The sequence below is a fragment of the Homo sapiens genome, chromosome 11 (genome assembly GCF_000001405.40).
Source record: "Homo sapiens chromosome 11, GRCh38.p14 Primary Assembly".
Lineage (NCBI taxonomy): Eukaryota > Metazoa > Chordata > Mammalia > Primates > Hominidae > Homo > Homo sapiens.
Window position 1 is genome coordinate 49,841,102 of NC_000011.10, and position 21,496 is coordinate 49,862,597.

The 21,496-nt window shown below is 43.1% G+C and overlaps 2 pseudogenes; one reads left to right on the forward strand and one right to left on the reverse strand.

Annotated features, from left to right (window-relative positions):
- Nucleotides 2,861–20,118, reverse strand: LOC387770 (tripartite motif containing 49D1 pseudogene; annotated as a pseudogene).
- On the forward strand, nt 8,514–11,398 carry ANKRD33BP4 (ANKRD33B pseudogene 4; annotated as a pseudogene).

The following is a 21,496-nucleotide window of genomic DNA, read 5'->3' on the forward strand; positions in this document are numbered from 1 at the left end:
TTCATGATGCATACATATCTATTGCAGCAAACACTAGATATCTAAAATTTTTCAAAAATATATTAAACACTTTTGGAACACACAAAATAACAATTAAAAACCTCATGTCATAAAAAGAATAGCAATAATATGAGTTAAAAATAAGATCATTAAGTAAGTTTAGACAGTTAGATATTTTTGTCACGGTAATTTACTATTTTAAAGGAAGAGAGAAATAATTTTCTCCATAAACGTTGCACTCACCCCAAGGTTCTATGAATGTTTCTGGCAGTGATTCTTCCAAGAGAAAATTCTTTTAAGTACTCCCCAAGATCAGGACCTCGTTCCCTGCAGAGTTGACTTTCAGAGGTCACCTGAATGCAGTTAACTCTAAGTGCTGTCCTCCTCTGGAGAAATATGAGCTTGTCTCTTCTACATCCTTTTATGTGAACCTTTGAAGACCACACCCACCTCTTTAGTGATATTTAGGGTATTAAGAAAGGTGGAGACAGAGATGATTAGATTTCTGCAATATTTAGTACACGCCTTTTCATCACTGATTAAATTAGCATCACACTATCATTGTAAAAACCACTGCCTGAATGAGGCATATCTATCATCAGTCTTATCAGAGTAAACGTATGCTAGAAATTAACTAAAATTGATTAATACTGTTTCTTGAGTTTCTTCCCAAGGCACAAGCATTCCTCCAAGTGCACATTTATTTATTTATACCAAAGAAAGTTTCACCCTCTGGAGTGCAGTGGCACAATCTTAGCTCACTGCAGCCTTGAATTCCAGGGCTCAAGTAATCCTCCCACTTTAGCTTTCAAAGTAAAAGAGACTAGAGGTTTATGCCATTGCACCTAGCTAATTTTTCATTTATTCATCAAAACTATTTTTAAAATTCTTAGGTGATTACATGTGTTACAGTGACCAGCTGGATTAGAATTAGATTAGGTTTAAAACGATGAAAGAATCTGGGAGAGGGGGCAGAGTGTTGGTTGTTAATTAGCACATGGATCAAAGGAGATTACTGATGTGTTTAGAAGCCACAACATTGACAGAATGAAAGCCAGAACTAACAATCCAATGGTAAATCTCTTTACTGTGGTATTTTCTGCCATTTCTGCTCCATAAGACACACCTTAACCACCTTGTCATGGTATCCGCAGTATTCGATTTTAGTCTAAATAGCATTTTCTCTCAAATGCACTCTGTTTCTCTCTCCTTCATCTTCCCTCACTTCTTCCTTCCAGCTCTATTTTTTCACTAGAGAACACTAATAGAATGTTCTCCCAAATTTCAGATTTCAGATACGCATCTGTAAAATAATCTTATGGAGACACATTTTAGTTGCTACTGCATACTTGGTTGTTTTCATAAGTTCACAGCATTACTACTGTCCTCCAAAAAATGGTTTCCCATTTCCACAGCTAATCTCATCATTGACTCTGCCATCCAAGTTTATTCTATGCCACTCTGGAAGAATCTGGAAAAATACTTAAAATACATTTTAAGTATTCATCATGCACATGTATTGCATTTTATTTTGTATATGTTCGGGTGAATATCTTCCTCCACTAATTGTTTGCATTTCAACTCTTGTATCATGTTTTTTGAAACACAGAAGTCGTCATTAATATAAACCAACTAATTTTTTTAATTGTTGATTTTTGTCCCGGTTAAGAAATCCTTATGAGAATATTTTCATGTGCATCTGTGCAAAGAGACCACCAAACAGGCTTAGTGTGAGCAACATGGTTGTTTATTTCACCTGGGTGCAGGTGGGCTGAGTCCGAAAAGCGAGTCAGCAACGGGAGATAGGGGTGGGGCCATTTTATAGGATTTGGGAAGGTAATGGAAAATTACAGTCAAAGGGGTTGTTCTCTGGTGGGCAGGGGTGGATCTCACAAAGTACATTCTCAAGGGTGGGGAGAATTACAAAGAACCTTCTTAAGGGTGGGGGAGACTACAAAGTACCTTCTTAAGGGTGGGGGAGATTACAAAGTACATTTATCAGTTAGGTTGGCGCAGGAACAAATCACAGTGGTGGAATGTCATCAGTTAAGGCTGTTTTTACTTCTTTTGTGGATCTTCAGTTACTTTAGGCCATCTGGATGTATACGTGCAAGTCACAGGGGATGCAATGGCCTGGCCTGGGCTCAGAGGCCTGACAAATATTGTATCATGTTCCCCTTACCTTCAGGACTTGAATCTATTTGGAAATGACTGTGTGTGTTTTGAGGTAGGAGTCAATATTTAGTTATTTTTTAAAATTCAACTAATCCAGCATTGTTCTGACCACCTTGTGTATTTCAATGTAGAAGAGCACACTAATAATGCAGGATTATTTATCTATGTGGTGAGAATTCCAAAATGAAGCCCAGCATGGAAGGTCAAATAATATTAACTCAAAGGATAGATTAGTAAAATGAAATGTGATGGATAAGTGCAATATAGTAAGGTAAAGAGAAAGAAAAACATTTCCCAGCTATCATTAAGACTTCACTCCAAGCTTTTGCATGAAGCAAAAGATCCCGACTCTCTTCCATTGATTTTAACTCCATTCAGACATGTCTGTCATTTATTATTTCACTCAGTGGCAGTCAGAAATAAAGAAAAAAAAACAGAATATGTTGTATGCCATGATCATGAATAATGATTTTTCAAAAATTAATAAAGAACCAATACATACACTTTCAGTGTTTTTACCACTTTTAATAGTAACACAATAAATGAGTTTCAATAACATTAGGAGGCAATTGAAGACATAAAACAGAACCTATTTGTCCTGTTTGATAAGGCACAAGGAAGAGGGCTTCCTGGAATAAAGGGGTTCTCACAGCAGATGAACACATTTCTGATTGATCTCTGGTCAGAGGTGAATACACCGAAAGATAGGCCTGAGAGGAGGTGAGAAGGAGCAATTAGGGATGGTGTATATAGGGAAGCTTTGATTAACATCAACGAAGCTCACAGTTCTAGCTTCACAATCCAGGAATAATCCTATGAGGCTGGTAGGTCTTGGGATATATTGCAGTGTAAGTGAGGAGGTGGTAAAGAAACTGCACTGAATGTCATTCTTGACATATCCAAGACTAAAGAGTCCCTCCTCTCCATGTATATTGTCATTCTGATTCTTCCCTTTCCAGCACTTATTACAGACACCAAAAGCCCAATTCCAAGAGTCCCCCAAATGGACCTCCCAGTAATATTTGCCGGAGGTGAAAATCTGAGCACATCATGAAAGAAAACTTGTAGGTGTTGCAATGATATGGGGCGGATTTTGACGGTCACATCCAATGCACATGCTTCTCAAATCTCCACATCGAAAGATATGACTGTTGGCTCATCATGATTCAGAGTAATATCCACTGTGAAAATAAATAAATAAATAAAAGAGAAAGAAACAAAACATACATAGACATGTGTCAATAAGCAAAAATTGTTCTATCAAGAAGTTAATTTACCAGGAAATGTAAAGTCACAAGGACAATTTTGCTTGTAACCTCTAATAAAGCATAGAGATGATTAATTTTAACTACAAGACAAACAAAACACTAACCACAGGTATTAAAAATGTTTTGAAAACTTACATATTGAGAGCCAAATGTAAGACCAACTTCTTTCAATCCAATTTTCAAAGCAAAATTTGCACATTGTATGCCCTAAATAGTATGCTGTTATCAAGATCATTATTTAGAAATGTTTCTTATTCTTAAAAACTAGTGCTATCATTTTGGAAAGAATGTGAAGATTTTCAGTTACTCCAGAACTGCTCTTGATGACTGGATAAAAATCCATAAGTACATGTCATAAGTGACAATTTAAAGCAGATTTCTGGTAAATCTTTTACCAGTCTCTCTGTGGTCCTCCATGCTAGCGTGGGGCTGAAGCTGGATTTTAAACTTAACCTGTCGCCTTTCATATTGCAATTAAACTGAACTTCTTTTTCTTTGTAATTTTACTTGTATTCACAAAATGATTTCTTCTTTTTATGATTACCCATTAACTAATTTTTTTGCAATTCATGATACATATCCATTTAAAAAATTAAAAACCCCCAGCAATCCCCAGTAAACCATAATCCCCAAAAGAACAGTTCTTAGCTGTTCAAATGAATTACACTAAGGAAATGTAAAATTTTGTATTTCACATAAACAACTCACCTTCATTCTGAGCATTGTTCCATTTGCTCCTTTTTAAAATTTGCTACACTACCTCTTTTTCCCATTACATTACTCAGTACATATGAGGCCGAAATGTATTTGGTTTTCACTATCTTTCAAACTTAATGCTATAAATCTGACTACACAGACACATATACAAAAGGGTTGCATGATTATGTTGTTCACTTATGTCTATAAAGAAGTGAAATATTTGATAAAGGGTGAAATATTACCTATGTGGTCCTAACAGTAATAATATTTAGATAGTGGGATAGCTGCCTATGGGTGCAGACTTACCTCAGAATTAGATGAGCCTGTCCCTCAGTCCAGTGATGGGCCCTGCACTGAGCTCTAGATTCAGAGGCTGGGACATGTGCAGTAGCACGGACTCACTCCTGGAAGGAAAAACCTGCAGTTACAACATCTACAGCCATAAAATAAATAAAAATCACTATTTCTGTTTAAAAGACAGTTCATGAGAATCCTCTGAATCCACAAATTTGATTATTCAAAAATTATTCCTTCCTTTTTGGAATTAATTTCTATTTACAGTTTCCAAATTTTAAAGCATAGTGGGAGAGCCTGAGTCAGAATTCAGTCTGATCTTTCTTTTTTTCTGCCCCACATGTGTAAGGTTCCTTAGCCTTATGGCCTTGAGAATATTTGGAAATGAAATTCTGAGTTAAACTTCTTGGCAGACTCCCCTGACCTCTTTGTCTGAAATAGCGGGGTTCTGGGGAGACTGCTGCATCTGCTGCATACTTTTCAAGATAAAGAATGTGAAACTTGTTCCAGGCAGCTAGACGTGCCTTTTAGAAACAAGCTTCCCTAGAGACTTATACAGTTCTAACACTCCACAGTTTTTTCAACCTGTTTTCCAGGAGTGTTAACTGATATGTATGTAGGTATGAACAACAAATCATCAACTTTTTCACTGCTAAAATACTTCCTCCACTTCTCTCCTGCTTCCTCTGGTGACTTTCTCACCATCCACAAAACAAAACTTTATCTTTCACCTATGCAGGCTTTAAAGCAATAAAACAGAATCAGGAATAAACTTTTTTTTTTTATTTCACTATGTATGTTGGTATGTATGTTTTTATTTAGTGTTCTTGTGTTTTCTGGTGTGAGAGTAAAGCAGATGCAAAAAAAAGGTAGTATCAATATCTGAATCATTTATGCCATGACTTTGGTAGAGCCTGCTTTGATATTCATGGAAACTGAAAGAATATATGCTAAAATCTAGGTAAACACTCACCTGTGTAATATGTCTCCAAAACCCTGTAAAAAAATAATAGAAATATGTAGTACATTTCACTAGATGCATCTTTCACCAAGTTCAGTGTGAAATTTGGAGTCAGTTTCTAAAGATATTATTTCCCTACCATCTGGAAAGCATTTTCTATTTCTTCTGTAATGAAAAACCCAGTTAGTCATTTTGTCATTAATTAATGTCCTGGTAAAGTCTGAGTCTTGAAGACATTCTCTCCAGAAGTGAAGGGAGAAGAGGCCCAGGGAGTCTATGCTCTGTGGTAACTTCAAATAACCTACTCAGTCATCTCTCCCAGGACCTATTACCCAAATGAGTGGACCTCAAAATAATGTTAATGTGAGCCTAGATTCCCAAAACTTCTGATCTTGCCATGTCCTCAAATTAACCTAAATGTAAATGAATCACTCACTATTTTATACATGTTAAACAACCCAAAATAGATTATTGACTTAGAAATGATTCAGTAGGTGCATTTCTCCAACATGTTTGTGCCAATATAGGAGTTGGCCAAGAAGAAGACTGACATCTTCAACAAGTGAATTTTACCTCTGTGTGCAGGAAACTCCCATTTATTGCCGTGTCCCATGCAGCAGGAAAGCTGGAAAAAAGTAGGAGGGACAAGAGTATTTGGCTTTAAGGAAATCACCTGGTGTTTCTCACAATGCTTTTATTCCCGTCCCATAGGTTCAAAATTAGGCAGATGGGATACCAAGTTGTAATGTATCTGGGAATGCTGTTTACACTCTAAACCATATTTATTCTTATCATTTGATTCAGAAAACAAATTAAATGACTGGCACAACTGAAAATAACCCAAGAGATTTGTTCAATGAAACAAAGCTGAACCTCAACCAAACAGATAAGCTGCTGCCTAAGGTCAGCACCAGTTCTTAGTTATTCAAGAGTGAGTAAACCCTGCTTTTTACCACTGTCGAGGTGTCCAGCGTTGTCATTTTTAGAGCCTGGCTAGCTGAGGGTTATGTGGCAAGAAACATCTTATTTGTATTTTAGTCCCTTAAATGAACGATTTGGATAGGAATGATTCTCCAAATTTTGAAAATACTTATCAGAAATATTCTCTTATTCCTTCACTCTATGCCACATAGACTATAATAAACTGTCTCTCTTCTGCCTCCACATATTTCATGCAGAACATTAGGGGTTAGCAGAGAGAAAGCTTATCACCAGCTTCTTTTGGACTAGCTGCTTTTTTCCAAGTGATCTGAGATGATAAAATTACTCACTTTAGGGCTCCAACCTAGCACTCCTTTTTGATTTTCACCTATGTTTTGTGAGCTTTTCTATTGATGCTAAAACTCTATGCAACAGTCAAAGCCTCATCATTTAATTACATTATTTCTTGCTAGATTTCAAGGAAAAATTTATTCCTGACATTCTTCTAATTTAGCTCAGATTCACTTTGGCAGAAAGACAGAATTAGCTACTTTACGATCACTTAGTGTTTGACTCTGATTTTGGAAGATGCAGCAGTTTTTGAGTCTATTTACCATATTTTCTTAGCCATTTAACCAAGATAATCTTATTGTGTTGATTCTCCTAGAGATACTTACTTTATTTATTCTCTTCACCTGTCAGAATTTATGTTAGAATATCACCAAGACTTACTCACAATTGAAATAAATCAAAGAGAGACCACTAAGAACGTTGTCAATCATTAATATGTAAATCTTGAACTTCCTGAGATTTTTATCCCTAAAAGAAGTTATTTATCAATAGCCTGGTTACAGTTTTTTTTAATACAAGAATTTTCACTCTTCTACAGTACAAAAAGTAAAAATTGATAAAGAGGATAACTTGGAAAAAAAATAATCTAACCAAACAGAGACACATTCTTGACTAGCACTTTATATCTGTACTAAATTTAGGAGACATGTAAATGGCAGGTTTCCTAAGTGAAATAAGACAGACACACAGAGAAAAATACTTCATGGTCCCACTCATATTTGAAATTTATTTTTATAAGTTTAATACATTCAAAAAGGTGGTTACATTGGTGGGAAGAAAATAGGTAAATGAAGGGCAAAAGTTGTAAAGGTGCAGTAATGTAGAATAAATGAATCTGATGTACAACCTGTAGGTATATTAGATAATCTTGTATTGTTTTTGGGAAATATTCTGAGGGACTAGATTTTTGGTGTTCTTATCATCAAAAAGAAGCAGAGCTAAGTGATATGATCGATTTGTTAATTTTCTTCATTATAGTAATCATTTCCTTATGCACGTGTATCTCAAAACGACATATTGTGCACCTTGAAAATATACAATAAAACAAATTTAAAAATAAAGGTAATTTTGTTCCTGCATGTAAGCTGAAAATAAGTGAAGACTGGGTCAGTAATAACATTGCTTTGCTGAATTAAGAGAATTCTCATAACATATTTTTAGCTGGGAAGCTATCTGTATTAAATGAAATTGATCTAAAGCTGGTTTCAGTGGCCGTACTTATAATCCCAGTGCTTTGGCAGGCCAAGGCAGAAAAATCAATGGAGGCCAGGAGTTTGAGATCAGCCTGGGCAATAGAGTAAGACATTACCTCTACCAGAAAATAAACAGAAAATTAGCCTTGAGTGGTGGTGTGCACCTGTTGTCCCAGCTTCTCAGGAGGCTGAGTTGGGAGGATTGCTTGAGTCCAGGAGTATAAAACTGCAGTGAGTTCTGATTGTGCCACTGCACGCCAGCCTGGGTGACAGAGTGAGAACTTGTCTCAAAAACAGCAGCTAATTATTTTTTGTAGCCATTTTACCTGAAAGGTATAATTCTTTCTTCTACAATTAATAAATCTGCATATGTCTAGGCCAGCTATATCAGGTAGAGCTTGTCCTCTAGTGCTTATATCTACAAAACAAGTAAGACAATTATAAGGAGGCTCTAAGCAAAACAATTTTTTCTCATTCTGGACTTTCAGGTCTTAATTCTTTAGACTAATTTTCTGTCTCAATAGTGGATATCACCCTGAAACTTAATTTGTCCAAACACCTCACATAACCTGAGATTTTACAAAACATATAGTTCGTAGGATCAGTACGTTCTTATGCCTCAAAATTCTCCAGGCATTCAAGGATACCGCTATGTGGAAACTCAGGCCTTCTACTGCATTACTGAAGAGCACATTTGAGACTCACAGCTCTGGTTGCAGGAGTCTCTTAACAGGTCTGGACAATGAGTAATGTCAGTCCAGATAATTCTGAGGAAGGCTTTCGGCCTTGTTATGAGGAGGATAATCCATGGAGACTCTAGACAAGTTCCCAGTCACCATTCCAGCATTTAGTTGCTGTTTTTGTAATCCCAGCATTTTGGGAGGCCTAGGCAGGTGGATCACTTGAGGTCAAGAGTTCAAGACTGGCCTGTTCAACATGGTAAAACTTTGTCTTTACTTCAAATACAAAATTAGCAGGGGGCGTGGGGTGGGGAATATGCATTAGAAGGGAAGGAGAACATACTTAACATACCATTGGAAGGTGAAATTCCTAATACTTGAGAATATTTTTGAGAACTGTTTAATTCTCACTATAGAAAGATGTACCCTTTGAATGACATTAAAAATTCACTAGAAGAGTGAAGAATAATAGTTAAAATGTCACATAAGTCACAAGAGTCTCAAAACATAAAGTGTTCTAAAAGGTTAAAGTACGTATTTGAGATAGAGGAGAGAATAAATAATAGTTAATTAATTAGACTTTATTATGTGAAAAGACTTTTCTAAAATCTTCCGTAATAATTGAAGATATAAATTACAATAATTAAAATATACAAAAAATAAAAGCATGAAAATAGTGAAAAATTTTTAAAAGGGTAAACTTGAAAATTATTTAATTTTTAATCTCAAAAATCAGAAAGTGATTTTATCAATGTCCTAAAAAATTAAAATAAAAACAAACAATAATGTAAAAGAAGGGAGGTTTCCACCGGGCTGGGGGCGGGAGCTAGGGCTTCCCTGGGGACGCAGAAGCAAGAAGCAGAGACCTTGGCGCGCACCAGACTTTCCCGGACAGAGCCTCGGCCCCCCGCCCACGCCTCCGGCCCCCAGCGTGGTGCTGCTGGCTGGGACCCAGCCGCAGGGTGGCGGGGCGCGCTGCATGACCCCGCCACCGCCGTCCCCACTCCTAGGCACACAGGTCAAGGAGGACCGCGCTGACTACAAAGAGTTCCAGGACTTCTCCAGTCTGCCCGACACCCACAACATCGCCTGGGACCACTCTTTCTACCCTTTCCAGGAGGAGGAGGAGCACGGCGTCAAGGGTGTGGAGAGCGTCCTGGAGAAGGGCGTTCTGGACGAGGGCGTCCTGGAGGCATGGGGCTGCTGCAGACGTTGGTGCGGCGGGGGGTGAGCGTTGAGAAGGCGCAGGAGACTGACCACAATGGCTAGACCGGCCTTAATGTCGCCTGCTACCATGGCTTTGTGGATATACCGTGGTGGCCTTAGCTGAGTGCCCCCACATTGAAGACAACTGGCAGGACAGGGAGGGGAACGCAACCCAAATCATAGCTGCACAGGCAGGAGCTGCCCCTGGCCCCATGGGCACAGTTGCCTTAGACACTGGCTCTCAGCCTTGCACTTCCTGCGTCAGCATCACCTGGGCTGGTTCATTTGAGCTTTCACACAGATCTGGTGGAAACACAGGCTGCCGAGCCCTGTCCCTGGAGTCTTTCTTTGAATAGGGCTGGGGTGGGGCCCAAGAATGAGCAGAAGAACAGGTTTCCTGGTGAGGCTGATGCCGCTGGCCCAGGGATCCCACGTTGAGGACGGAGGGCTTTGAGGTTTTCCTGCCTGATGATGGCCAGGAACCCTTCTCAGTAGGCATGGAAGACCAGCAGAGTCCCAGACCCCAGGAGAGATGTCGTCAGACGGACACACAGGCATCACGGAATTAAAGTGGAAATGAAGAACGGAGCTGAGCATCTGTTTCATGACTTTCCTGAGCTGTTTTACTAAAGAGGCTGTTCTGGCCCAGTCAGGGCACGCTATCATCACCAACTACTTGTTGAACTATGTCCTGGGTCTTGACCTTGAAGGATGGACGCGTTTGGGTTGAAAGCCGCCACGCAGGGTGGAACCGATCGCAACCGAGCCCTGAGCTAGCAGGGGCGGTTATCCACGCGAGGGCCCCCGCCGTGGGATGTCGCCAGAGGAGTGGTCACTTACACGTCCGCCTCAAGCAGAGGCTCCTGGAGCGCCCCTGCCAGGAGCCGTTGGGGAAAAAGTACCAGCTTGAGCTGCCTCCGCTCTACGAGAGGGCGCGGAAGCCCGAGGGCTCGAAGAACTTGCCTGCAGATGGTCAGGGACTGCGAGCTGTCCGCGCTGACGCTGCGCTCCCTGTGTGGCCCGGAGGACCGGGGCGCCCTGGACCACATGGTCAGGATGACCACCAGCCTCTGAAAGCCCCGCCGTGGCCCTCCCTTGCCAGACCGTGTGCCTCCAGAACTCCCTGTGCCTGGGGAAGAGGCTGCTGGCGGTGCAGGAAATCCTGGCGGCTCAGGAAATTCTGGTGACGCGGCGTGGGGGTGGGGAGGCAGGCGCAGGAGGCGGGCGAAGCGGAGGGCGCAGAGCAGCACAAGTGGCCCTGCCCAGAGGCCGCGGGCTCCCGGCAGGGCTCCCCAAGAGCTGGCCTCCCACCTGCCCCTTTGCCGGGGTCCTGGGGCTCTGCCGACCCCGCCCCGCGGAAGGCCAGCCTCCTGCCCCTGCAGCGCCTGCGGCGGAGCAGCTTGCGGCCCGGCGTGGTGGTGCCCCGATCCGCCTCAGCAAGGCGCCCGCGCCCACCTTCCAGCGCCAGAGGCCGGTGCCGAAGGGCAGCACCAAGGACAGTGGCCACCTGCGGACACCCGCCACCTGCGGACACCCAAGTGGCCGTACAAGGTGGCCACGGAGGAGAAACCGGAGGCTGAGGAGGCCGAGAAGAAGCGCCAGGCCAAGGTGCAGGAGAAGCGCCTGCCGCCGTGGAAGAAGAGGACGTGAGAATCCGCGGGTGCTTGACACGGGGTTCGAGGGCAAGGTGAGGCCGCGGGGCTGGACACCATGGCCGCTCCCGGGACCACCAGGCCGCGTGCGTTTCCACGCTGTCTTTCTAGAATGCTCCCAGGAAGGGGCTGGGGGAGCCACATCGATTCGCCTGACACCAGCCACCCTAGCAATCAGTACACCTAGCGGGCATGTTGCCTAAAAGGCTCCCTTTAGAGAACCTCAATTAAGATGTTTTTAAAGATCAATTTATTAGGCCGGGTGCGGTGGCTCACGCCTGTAATCCCAGCACTTTGGGAGGCCGAGGCGGGTGGATCACCCGAGGTTGGGAGTCTGAGAGTAGCCTGACCAACATGGAGAAACCCCGTCTCTACTAAAAATACAAAATTAGCCGAGCATGGTGGCACATGCCTGTAATCCCAGCTACTCTGGAGGCTGAGGCAGGAGAATCGCTGGAACCCAGGAGGCAGAGGTGGCAGGGAGCCAAGATCGCGCCATTGCACTCTGGCCTGGGCAACAAGAGCCAAACTCCGTCTCAATCAAAAAAACCTCAATTTATTAAAGAGTATTTTCTGTGTGATTTTGTATTTTTAATTGTTATCCGGTTTGCCAAGTTTTACAAGTGATAGGGCCCCTTGTATCCAAGGCAGTTTTAATACACTTGCCCGAAGACATTGTATTTGAAATACTGTTTCTAGCAATAAATATTTATGGTATCTGTAGGAGTTTACACAGAAATCATGGGATTCTCTCCTTTTTGGCTGTTTGTTTTGGTCTTTTCTTCTCATTGTGGGTGCACATGCACACTGGATGTTTTTATTAATTAGATTAAGTGATGCTGGATATTTCTGTTTGATGGAGGGATTGACTCATTCAGCCACATGATCAAGTGAGAAAGAGATGATATCATATTTTATTGTATCTTTTTAAAAAGTATTATCCATACAGTCATATATTGGGGAAAAACATTTATCATCAAATTATGAAACAATGCCGAGATAAGCATGTATGTATTGCTAGAATTAAACTCATTTTAATCAAGGAGTTTTAGATAAACTGGATACAAAATCTTTAACATATTTAAAATAGATATGAGGGAAAAGTGTCATTTGATAAAATGGGGGAAATGTAATAGATGATTACCAGAAATACAAAATTAAGCCGTATATGCTCTTAAGTAAATCGAATCCAGATATCCTTCAAATGTAAAAAAAGGATGCAACAAGAGTAAGATGCAAATTAAAGGAATGGGGGGAGGTGATGTTTAGAACAAGCACAGAGAATGCAGTGGGAAGCAAACTTATTTTAGGCAAATTCTCCTGGAGTGGACCAGACAGCCCTCTCTTGCAGACTCAGTTCCAAAGAGTCCCTTATGTGGGTATTTCTTTTATTTTTCCTTTGAGGGCTGCACTTGGTGTTTAGTTCAACCTCATGCGGACCTCATGGAATTTCCAAGACGTGGGGCCTTGGCATTGTGGCACCTTCCTGCCACGTGTACATAATTCACAGCATTACCAAGTCACCGCAAGCTCCACGCTCACCTCTGTCAGCCCAGGACCCAGCCAGGCAGTGTCACATGGTCTCCCAGGCATGACTTTCCAAGCCGGCTATCCCTGCTGCAAAAGTTCTGAAGGCACTGGTCCAGGGAGCTGAGCCCTGGGCCTGTCCTAAAGCTCCATAGGTGACTGCACTGCAGCCCACATGGAGAGCTGCAGCTCTAACACAGGGATTTTGAGAGGCCTCAGTCGCCTTTAAGTGGCACTTCCAGGACACCCATCCTGAGCTCTCACGAATGGCTCCACCTTCCCAAGAATGTCTAATTGTCATTGGAACAGCCAGTGTCTGGCAGCTTCGCTCGGGCTGATGTGGCATCTGACCCTTGGTGGGTTGCCAGACATTCCTTCCTGTTTCCGCCATGGGAAGTTGACACTGGGAATGGTATGGAGCACCCACTTCTACACTAAGCCTTGGGTGTCTGCTGCTTCCAGGTCAACAATGGACATTTCTAGTCCTGACCAGCCATTACCACACTGTAACCGAAGCTCATAGTCTCAAGGGATGTGTAGAACAGCAACAGTAGGACAGCAAACAACTGGCAATTTCCCCAGGTCCCACGCTGTTCCGGAGTGGGCATGATGGGTCCCTGTTCCTAATGTGTTCCAGCCTTAATCAGGTGCACAGGGTACCCTGGGGCCAGCACAGGGCTTGTCAAGTAATGCTCCTGGTGTCCACAAAACAGCTCCAGAGATACCTGCATTTTGAAAAGCCTGCCAAGCCAGCAAATATGGGGCAGGACCCAGATTGCTTTGGCAAATCTGAAGGTGAGCTGGCCACTTGCCTGGTGAGTAGAAGCTGCCTTTACCTGGCCAGTGTATGCAACTTGAGAGAAAATCACAACTTCACGGAGGGGTTCTGGTGGGACTGGGAAGCCTGACCTCCCCTGCAGCTTTGGTATGGCCCCAGTGGAAAGACTGGATTTTGAAAACCCACCAGACCCAACTGAAAGAAGGGTCATCCCTGATTGGATCCCAGACTCTCCCTGGTCTCTCTGGGCTCACTCTAGACGTGACTTGCCTGTGGGCAGCCCTTCCCTTTGGCCCATGAGGCAGGTCCAGGTAGCTTCTGCAGCTGTGTGCCTGGCTACTGGCCCAGCACTTCTCATTTTTGCCATGTGGAATCAGATTTGCTAGTAGAGGAATTTTCCAAGTCAAAGGAAGTGTCACCAAACCTCTTTCCTCCACCTTGGCGAGCCCAGGCTCTTGGTTTCTTATTATCTTTTGGAGTGGGCAGCAGAGGGGACAAGCAGGCCTCCAGCCAGGCTCAGGGAGTGTGGGAGGACAGGGAGAAAAGTCTAGATGATGGGGAACTGGTGCCACCATGAGGGGGATGTCCTGGGGTCAGTGTCGGGGTGATCAGATGAACCAGTTTATATTCAAGCAACATTATTATGTTCAGTTATTTTGGGTAAGGGATTCCTCGGGGGAGGTGTGGTCATCTGGTCCCAGAGGTGGAGTGAAATGCCCACTCGTCTTCCTGAGCCATTTGGAAGCCCTTTCTTCTAGCCCTAGGTACTGGTGACACAGGCTCCTCGGTCTCAGGAGGTGCACAGGGCTGGGGGTTGCAGGCTTCTTGTCACTTACCCACTCAGCACTATTGGGCATCGGACATTCACAGGTCTCACAGTGGCCTCTCTAAAAACCTGGTGTCCTAGGAGAACATTTATTATTTTTGTCTGTTTTTGTTTCTTTGAACTTCTGCATTCACTCACTGAGGGCTCGCCCTCCCTGCACCCCTCATGTTGTTCAGGAAGGAGGGAACTGATGAGCATGGACCCCCTTCTCCTCTTCTGTCAGTTGCCACCACACTGTACCCACTGGCTTTATCACCATGTTCTCCCTCCCCTGTTGCCTCATCTCTTCTTCCTCATTCATCCTTCCTTCCTTTACCTGTTTTCTTCTCCCAGTTGGTTAAGTTTTTTATCATCCCTGGCACCACCTACCCTGAGGTCTACCCAGAACAGAAAAGCAGGGGCCTCTGTGAGGCAATGTGGTGTTATCATGGTGGGACCTCCAGGCCCCCAGAGTGAGTGAACAGCAGGCCTGCCAGCAGGTGTGCTGGGGGCTAAGAATTCCTACACCACCGTGCCCCTCCCACCCCCTCCTCTTTGCTCAGGAGGGAGACCAGGCTTGCCCTCTTGCAATGACAGACCAGCCCCTGCTATGCATAGGGATGGGGCTCAGGATCCCTCCCTGAACCCTGAAGTTAATTAACTGTAGATAGTGAATTTCAAGTTGACAGCTACCTTCTCAGGGATTTATATATAAATACAGTTAAAGGAAAAGCTAAAGTCTATATTACTACTTTTTAGTGTTTGTGAAAATTAAGCTTAAACTGGACAGAATAATTATTTCTCAGACAATGGCGATGCTACTCATTACAAGTGAGATAGGTGGAGCTTGCCCCTTGATGGAGAATTTTTTTGGTGATTGGAGATTGGGGACTCTGGCAGCAGAAATGGCTTTGCGGTGGGTGTGAAGTCACTTCTGTCCCTCGGAGAGCCTCTTGTGGATGTGAAAGCATGTATCAACACCAGTGAAATCCACCTCCATGTGCATGGAGGTGGCTGATGTGAACACAAATGAGCCAGTCCTGGCACTTCCCTCCAGAACCGGTCACTCCTGGTCTGACATTGGAGCATGTGAATTAAGAGTGACATTTTTTTCTACTGGCTTCTCCGAATAAAGTGTTCTACAGTCAGCCAGCACTAAACTCACTAGAAAGCAGGAGGGAAGAGCGTGGAGCCAATCATCTAGAATTACCTCGGTGTGCAGAGGCTGTCCCTTGGCTGCACTTGGGAAAAGCAGTGTGAAACATCCTGTGCCTCTTTCTTCTGGATCTCCTCCTGACAGTCTCCTGGCAACACTAGAGACCTCAGGACTATGGAGATCAGAATTTCAATACCTTTGTCATCTCAGCATTGACCACTCCTGAGACCCGAGGCTCCTCCTGGGAGCAGGAGACAGGGAGTTCGTGATGTTCGTTGGAAAGCAGGATTTATGAATGCAGGAGGGCCGTGCTGGACCCCTCTGTCTTCTTCTCTCCCTGCTGTCAGCAGTGACAAGGTCTCCAGTGTGGAGGCGAGTCTGTTGTGGGTGAAACAGAAGCCCCTGGGGTAAGGCCAGACCCCAGGCCTGAAAAGGATGCAAAGCCTGCTGTTTCAGGCTGTCAGGAAGAATCATGGCTACAAAGTGAATATGATGAAATGCATCCCAGAGAGGAAATGAATGTGCCTTCACTAAGAAGTGGGTCTGGCTGCCAGGTCTCTGGCAGTCCACTGGCGAAAGGACTACATCCCCTGCAGCCCTGCCATCCACACTACATGATGTGGGAATGCTGTCTCTTCACTCTTACCCTGGGGACCCAAGCCTGCTTTGAGGTGTGAGTCACAGCCCTGATGTGTGCCTTGCATTATTCTTTCCCCAGGTGTGCCCGGAGACTCAAGCTTGCTCATTTCTGTCCTGACACATCTCTCTGGTCCTGTGGTGGTCAGAGTCCTCCTGTTCTGTGTCAGCTCCTAGACATCATTAGTGTTTCACGTGATAAAGTGTGAGCACTTTTCTCTTTTACAGTATTTGGGGAAATTCTAACACACTCCCCAGGGATTTGCACAGGTCCCTCTGGCTCCCATGGTGGGTAGTTCTATGGATTCTGCACCTGGCAGTCAGCACTCCCCCTTGGAAGCCCCTGGGGTCCCTGTTTCTGTAGGCCTGGTCCTTGGTTTCTACCCCAGTACTTTTTGCTGGGACCTGCCTAGAACTGCCTGGAGGGCCATGGTCTAGGGAATGACAGGTGGAACCCTGACCACAACAGATCCTTCTGAAACAACGAAGTCACCTTGATGACGACGACTGCAGTGGGGTGAATGCCATCACAGTGGGCATGCTGGGAGCCACCAAGGGCTTCCCGCAAAGGCAGTTCTTCCCAAGGCACCCTTTGCGTCTTCCCCTCCTCACCTCTCACTGCATTTGGAACTTGCTTATGCGTTGGAATGACTTAAATCAACTGCTGGTTTCTGTGTCCCTGCACTCACAGGAAGCTTCATTAACATTTTCAATAAGTGGCTAAAAAAACTCCTCTGGAGGTAGTTTTTGAGAGCAGGAAAAAGAAAAACACACACTACCTGAAATGATTTTACTAATTTTTGAGTGACTCAGTTGAAAGTCAGTGTTGCATACACAATTTCCTCATGCTGAGCCAGCTTGAAATAAGACTTGATAAAAGGCACGGCCCTCAGTAGCAGGCGGTGCCACTGTGGACAGTGTACACTATGGTGTGAGGGTATGCGAAGGCGAGTGTAAGTGTGTTTACTCATGCACACGGATAAACTGAAAGGACACCGAGCTTCGTGCTGGCAAAGTTATGATGCTGCTGTAGCTTGTTATGGGCCCCGGGCAGTGTCAGATGGGAAATGCTTTGATGGCATGTTGTTCAATATATATAATGGGGTCTCCCATGGCCCAAGGACCCAGGATGAGCACTCCGCCCACTGTGGTGGAGAACACGGCTGGAGTCATCACAGCCCAGGTCTTTATTGAAAGGCAGTGTTGACCCAGAAGGCTCGCGTAGAACCCATTTGGCCAGGTGTGGACCATCTCTCTCCATCTGACTTGACTTGGCTGCACAGAGGGACCCAGACCCAAAAGGCCCAGACTCAAGAGGAAACTGAATGACGTTTACCATTACACCAGCTTTCATTTATTTTTTCCATATGATCATAAGAAGTGTATTACTAAGTATGTTTATAAATGCTATTTACAGTCTGTTCCCTTTTATTAGATGAAAGATTAATAAAGAATAAAAAATTGCCTGTAGTAAAACCGTGCCTGAGGCCAAGAGTGGTGGCTCATGCCTGTAATCCCAGCACTTTGGGAGGTCACGACGGGCAAATCACCTGAGGTCAGGAGTTCAAGACCAGCCTGGACAACATGGAGAAACCCCAGCTCTACAAAATACAAAAAAAAAAAAAAAAAATTAGCTGGGCATGATGGTGGGTGCCTTTTATTCCAGCTACTTGGGTGGCCGAGACAGGAGAATCGCTTGAACCTGGGAAGTGGAAGTTGCAGTGAGCCGAGATTGCACCATTGCCCTCTAGCGTTGATGAAAGAGAGAGAGAGGGAGGCAGAGCAAGAGAGAGAGAGAGAGGGAGGAGAGAGGGTGTGCGTAGAGGGAGAGAGAGAGAAAGAAAGAAAGAAAGAAAGAAAGAAAGAAAGAAAGAAAGAAAGAAAGCAAGCCAGCCATGCCTGAAGGGCACTGTGTGCTCATCACTTCAGCAGGTTGACACTCACCTGGAAGTCATGAAATCTGTCCATTAGTCCAGTGATGGGTTGAGCACTGAGCTCTGAGCTCACACACTGGGGCATGTGCCGCTGCTCTGACTCACTCCTTTAAAGAGGAAAATACAATTGAGCTTTCTAATACCAAATATTTTATCACAGGATTGAAAAACAAATAATCATTCAAGGGAAATTTGTCTTTAAAACCCTTTCCTGAGGTAGCAGTCCCAAATCATAGGAATTACGAATTTGAGCCACTGAGCCTAGACTGACTGATGTATCCTACGAATAAGCTATGTACATAAACTCATGTCTTCCCACTTCTCAGAACCATGAAATCAATCATTCCTCCCTTTCTTTCATTTATTTTTATTGTTTCTTAACAATACTAGAAGCTAAATTCGTTCTTTTCTTAAACCACGTTTATTCATTATATGACTTCCTAAAACACACAAAGAAAGGTTATGATTCATCATTTCTTCAATATACACCCTTTGATATCGGACAACCTACCTGAGAGTCATTGGAATTTATGGTGATTCACAGATAATTTTTTGCAGTATTAAGTTTTTAAATTAGTCTTTAGTACTAAACCTCCCTACTCCATAGCCTGACCACTCTCTCTGAGCAGTAATCAATGCTGCATTGTACCCTCAGGATTGGAAGCCATGAGAAAAAACCTTCCTCAAATCCTAACCAAGATGATTTCCACTCAAGTGGTAAGTGGATACATTTGTAGCATGTCTGTCTGAGGCTGAATCCGAGGGAAAAAGCCTAATACTTACAATCCACTGGTTGGTTTTCCTGCTCTCCTCATTTAACTTTCTTTGGTTTTCTTGAATTTTTTCCCAAAAAGATCTCATTTGCTTCATTATCGTCTCCTATAAAAGAATTATGAATTTGAACATAGAGAAACAAATGGCTTTGGTTGTCAGACCCCCATTGATAAAGAAATCAAGGGATGAGATATGAAAGAGATTTGGGAAGATCTCAGACTGTACAACCACAACATGGAATGCAACCAGTATAATAGGAAAATCATAAGCAGGGCTAATTTACAGATAATGTGGCATCTTGCATCAGAATTGGAATCTACTGACACCATGCCTTGCTAATTCTAGCAAAGTTTATTCTATTATTTCCAGTGTTGGTAAAGAGGTTTCTTATATAGAAGGCTTTTGAACTTGTAGTTTAGATAGCCAGAAACTCTCTCTGATATTGAGCTCTTTACAGTGCCTTGAACATTAAACTAAATAGTCAAATTATTATAATGATTATTAACTTCATCACTCCCTCAGTGAAATGCAAGTTCCAGGAAGGAAGGTATTCTCACAGATTCCATTTAAATTTCTATCATTGATACCTAGGCACTACATGATATCCAGTACAGAACAGAATAATCCTCATGCTCTTCATCTTCCCCCTAATCTCTTTACCTGTGCCATCCTCCAGCTTTCAAAGTGCTCTGAGAGCCATCACTTACCCAGTGTTCCTTAGTTGCCCCTCACAGTGTGTGTGAGCCCCGTGCTCCTGAGTGTTCCAGAACAGCAAATGAAGCAGGCTCTTATCCACCGCTCCAATATCTTTTTTTCTCCCTGTGGATCCCACACATTTGTTCATTAGAGCTCAGGAATTGCCAGAGACTGGCTTTTATGGCAATGCACACTGGATTCTTCAGAAAAATATTGGTTTTGACGTCCTCCTGCTGTGACAGTTCCCCGTATGTGGGCAGCCAGGAGGAATTTTGGCTTCTTCCCGGGAAAGGCAGAGACAGGGCCTACAGAAGCTGGGGCCGCAGCCTGTGGTGATGGGGTCTACGAGTTAGTTCAGACAGAAGAGGCAGATGGGTTCTTTCTGGAAGGCTTGTGTGATGTCTGAGACCATTTTCCTGAAGGAAGGAAATTAGGAAACGTATGATTAAAATTTCACCTTATGCCTTGGAGAAACAAAGACCAAAGCAAAATTTGACTCAGGTTGTGAGTCAGTGATAAACTTCTGTCTAGAGTAGAACAGGCTTTATTTTGTATAAGACAAAAGTAGACCTGAGGCACAAAGAGAGCTCTTGGATCTGTAGGTAAAATTGTTGGGTTCATGCACAACTCACAGGGCACTACATCCTCATCCTTCCATTTTCTTTTGCATAGAAAAATGAACCTCAGAGAGGCCAGGTGTGATGGCTCACACCTGTAATCCCAGCACTTTGGGATGCCAAGGCTGGTAGATCAGGTTGGAGACCAGCCTGGCCAATATGGGGGAACCCTGTCTCTACTAAAAACACAAAAATCAGCCAGGAGTGGTGGCACATACCTGCAATCCAAGAAACTTAGGAGACTGGGCAGGAGAATTTCTTGAACCCTGAAGTTGCAGTCAGCTGAGACTGAGCCACTGCTCTTCAGCCTGGGCAAGAAAGCAAGAAGAAACAAAGAATGAGAGAACGAGAGAGAGAGAGAGAAAGAGAGAGAAGAAAGAAAAGAAAGAAAGAAAGAAAGAAAGAAAGAAAGAAAGAAAGAAAGAAAGAGAGAGAGAAAAAAGAAAAAAAGGAAAGGAAAAGAAAAGAAAAGAAATGATTAGATTTATTTTTAAAGTCTTGCTTATTACAATGATGGAAAATTTGAGATTTTCCATCATATTGTATGTATTAGTTTTTTTCTTTTGTTGATTGAGCAGCATTCCATTGTGGGATTATACTATGGATTGTTTATTCACTCTTCTGTTAGAAACCTGGACTTTGTCTAATATTTGGCTAATATAAACATGGCTGTTTTGAACAATATTGTACACGTCTTCTTGTGGGCATGTGCTCATCTTTCTAGAGTAAATACCCAGTAATGGAATTGCTGTGCCATAGTGCACATTTCTGCTTGACATTGCTTTTTAAAAGAGTTACCTTAAGTGATTGTATAATTTTAGCCTAAATTATCACAAGCATTGTATGAGGATTTCAGTTGCTCCACATTCTCGCTACATTTGAATTGTTAATCTGTTTTACTTTAGCAATTCTAGCAAATGTGAAATTAGAATGTATTTAATGTAATTTATAGAGAACCGTTTGAATGAAACTAAGTTTTTACTGGAAATACAGCAATTTTTTTTTTTTCAGAATATGCTTATAGGTGTGGAATTGCAGAGGCTGTTGGTCTTCCAAGTATTCCTGTTCATCCAATTGGATACTATGATGCAGAGAAGCTCCTAGAGTAAGTTTGTAAGAATCAATGGATGGCTATTTGGGTAATTTTCATTATTGACAGTTTTCAAATATTAG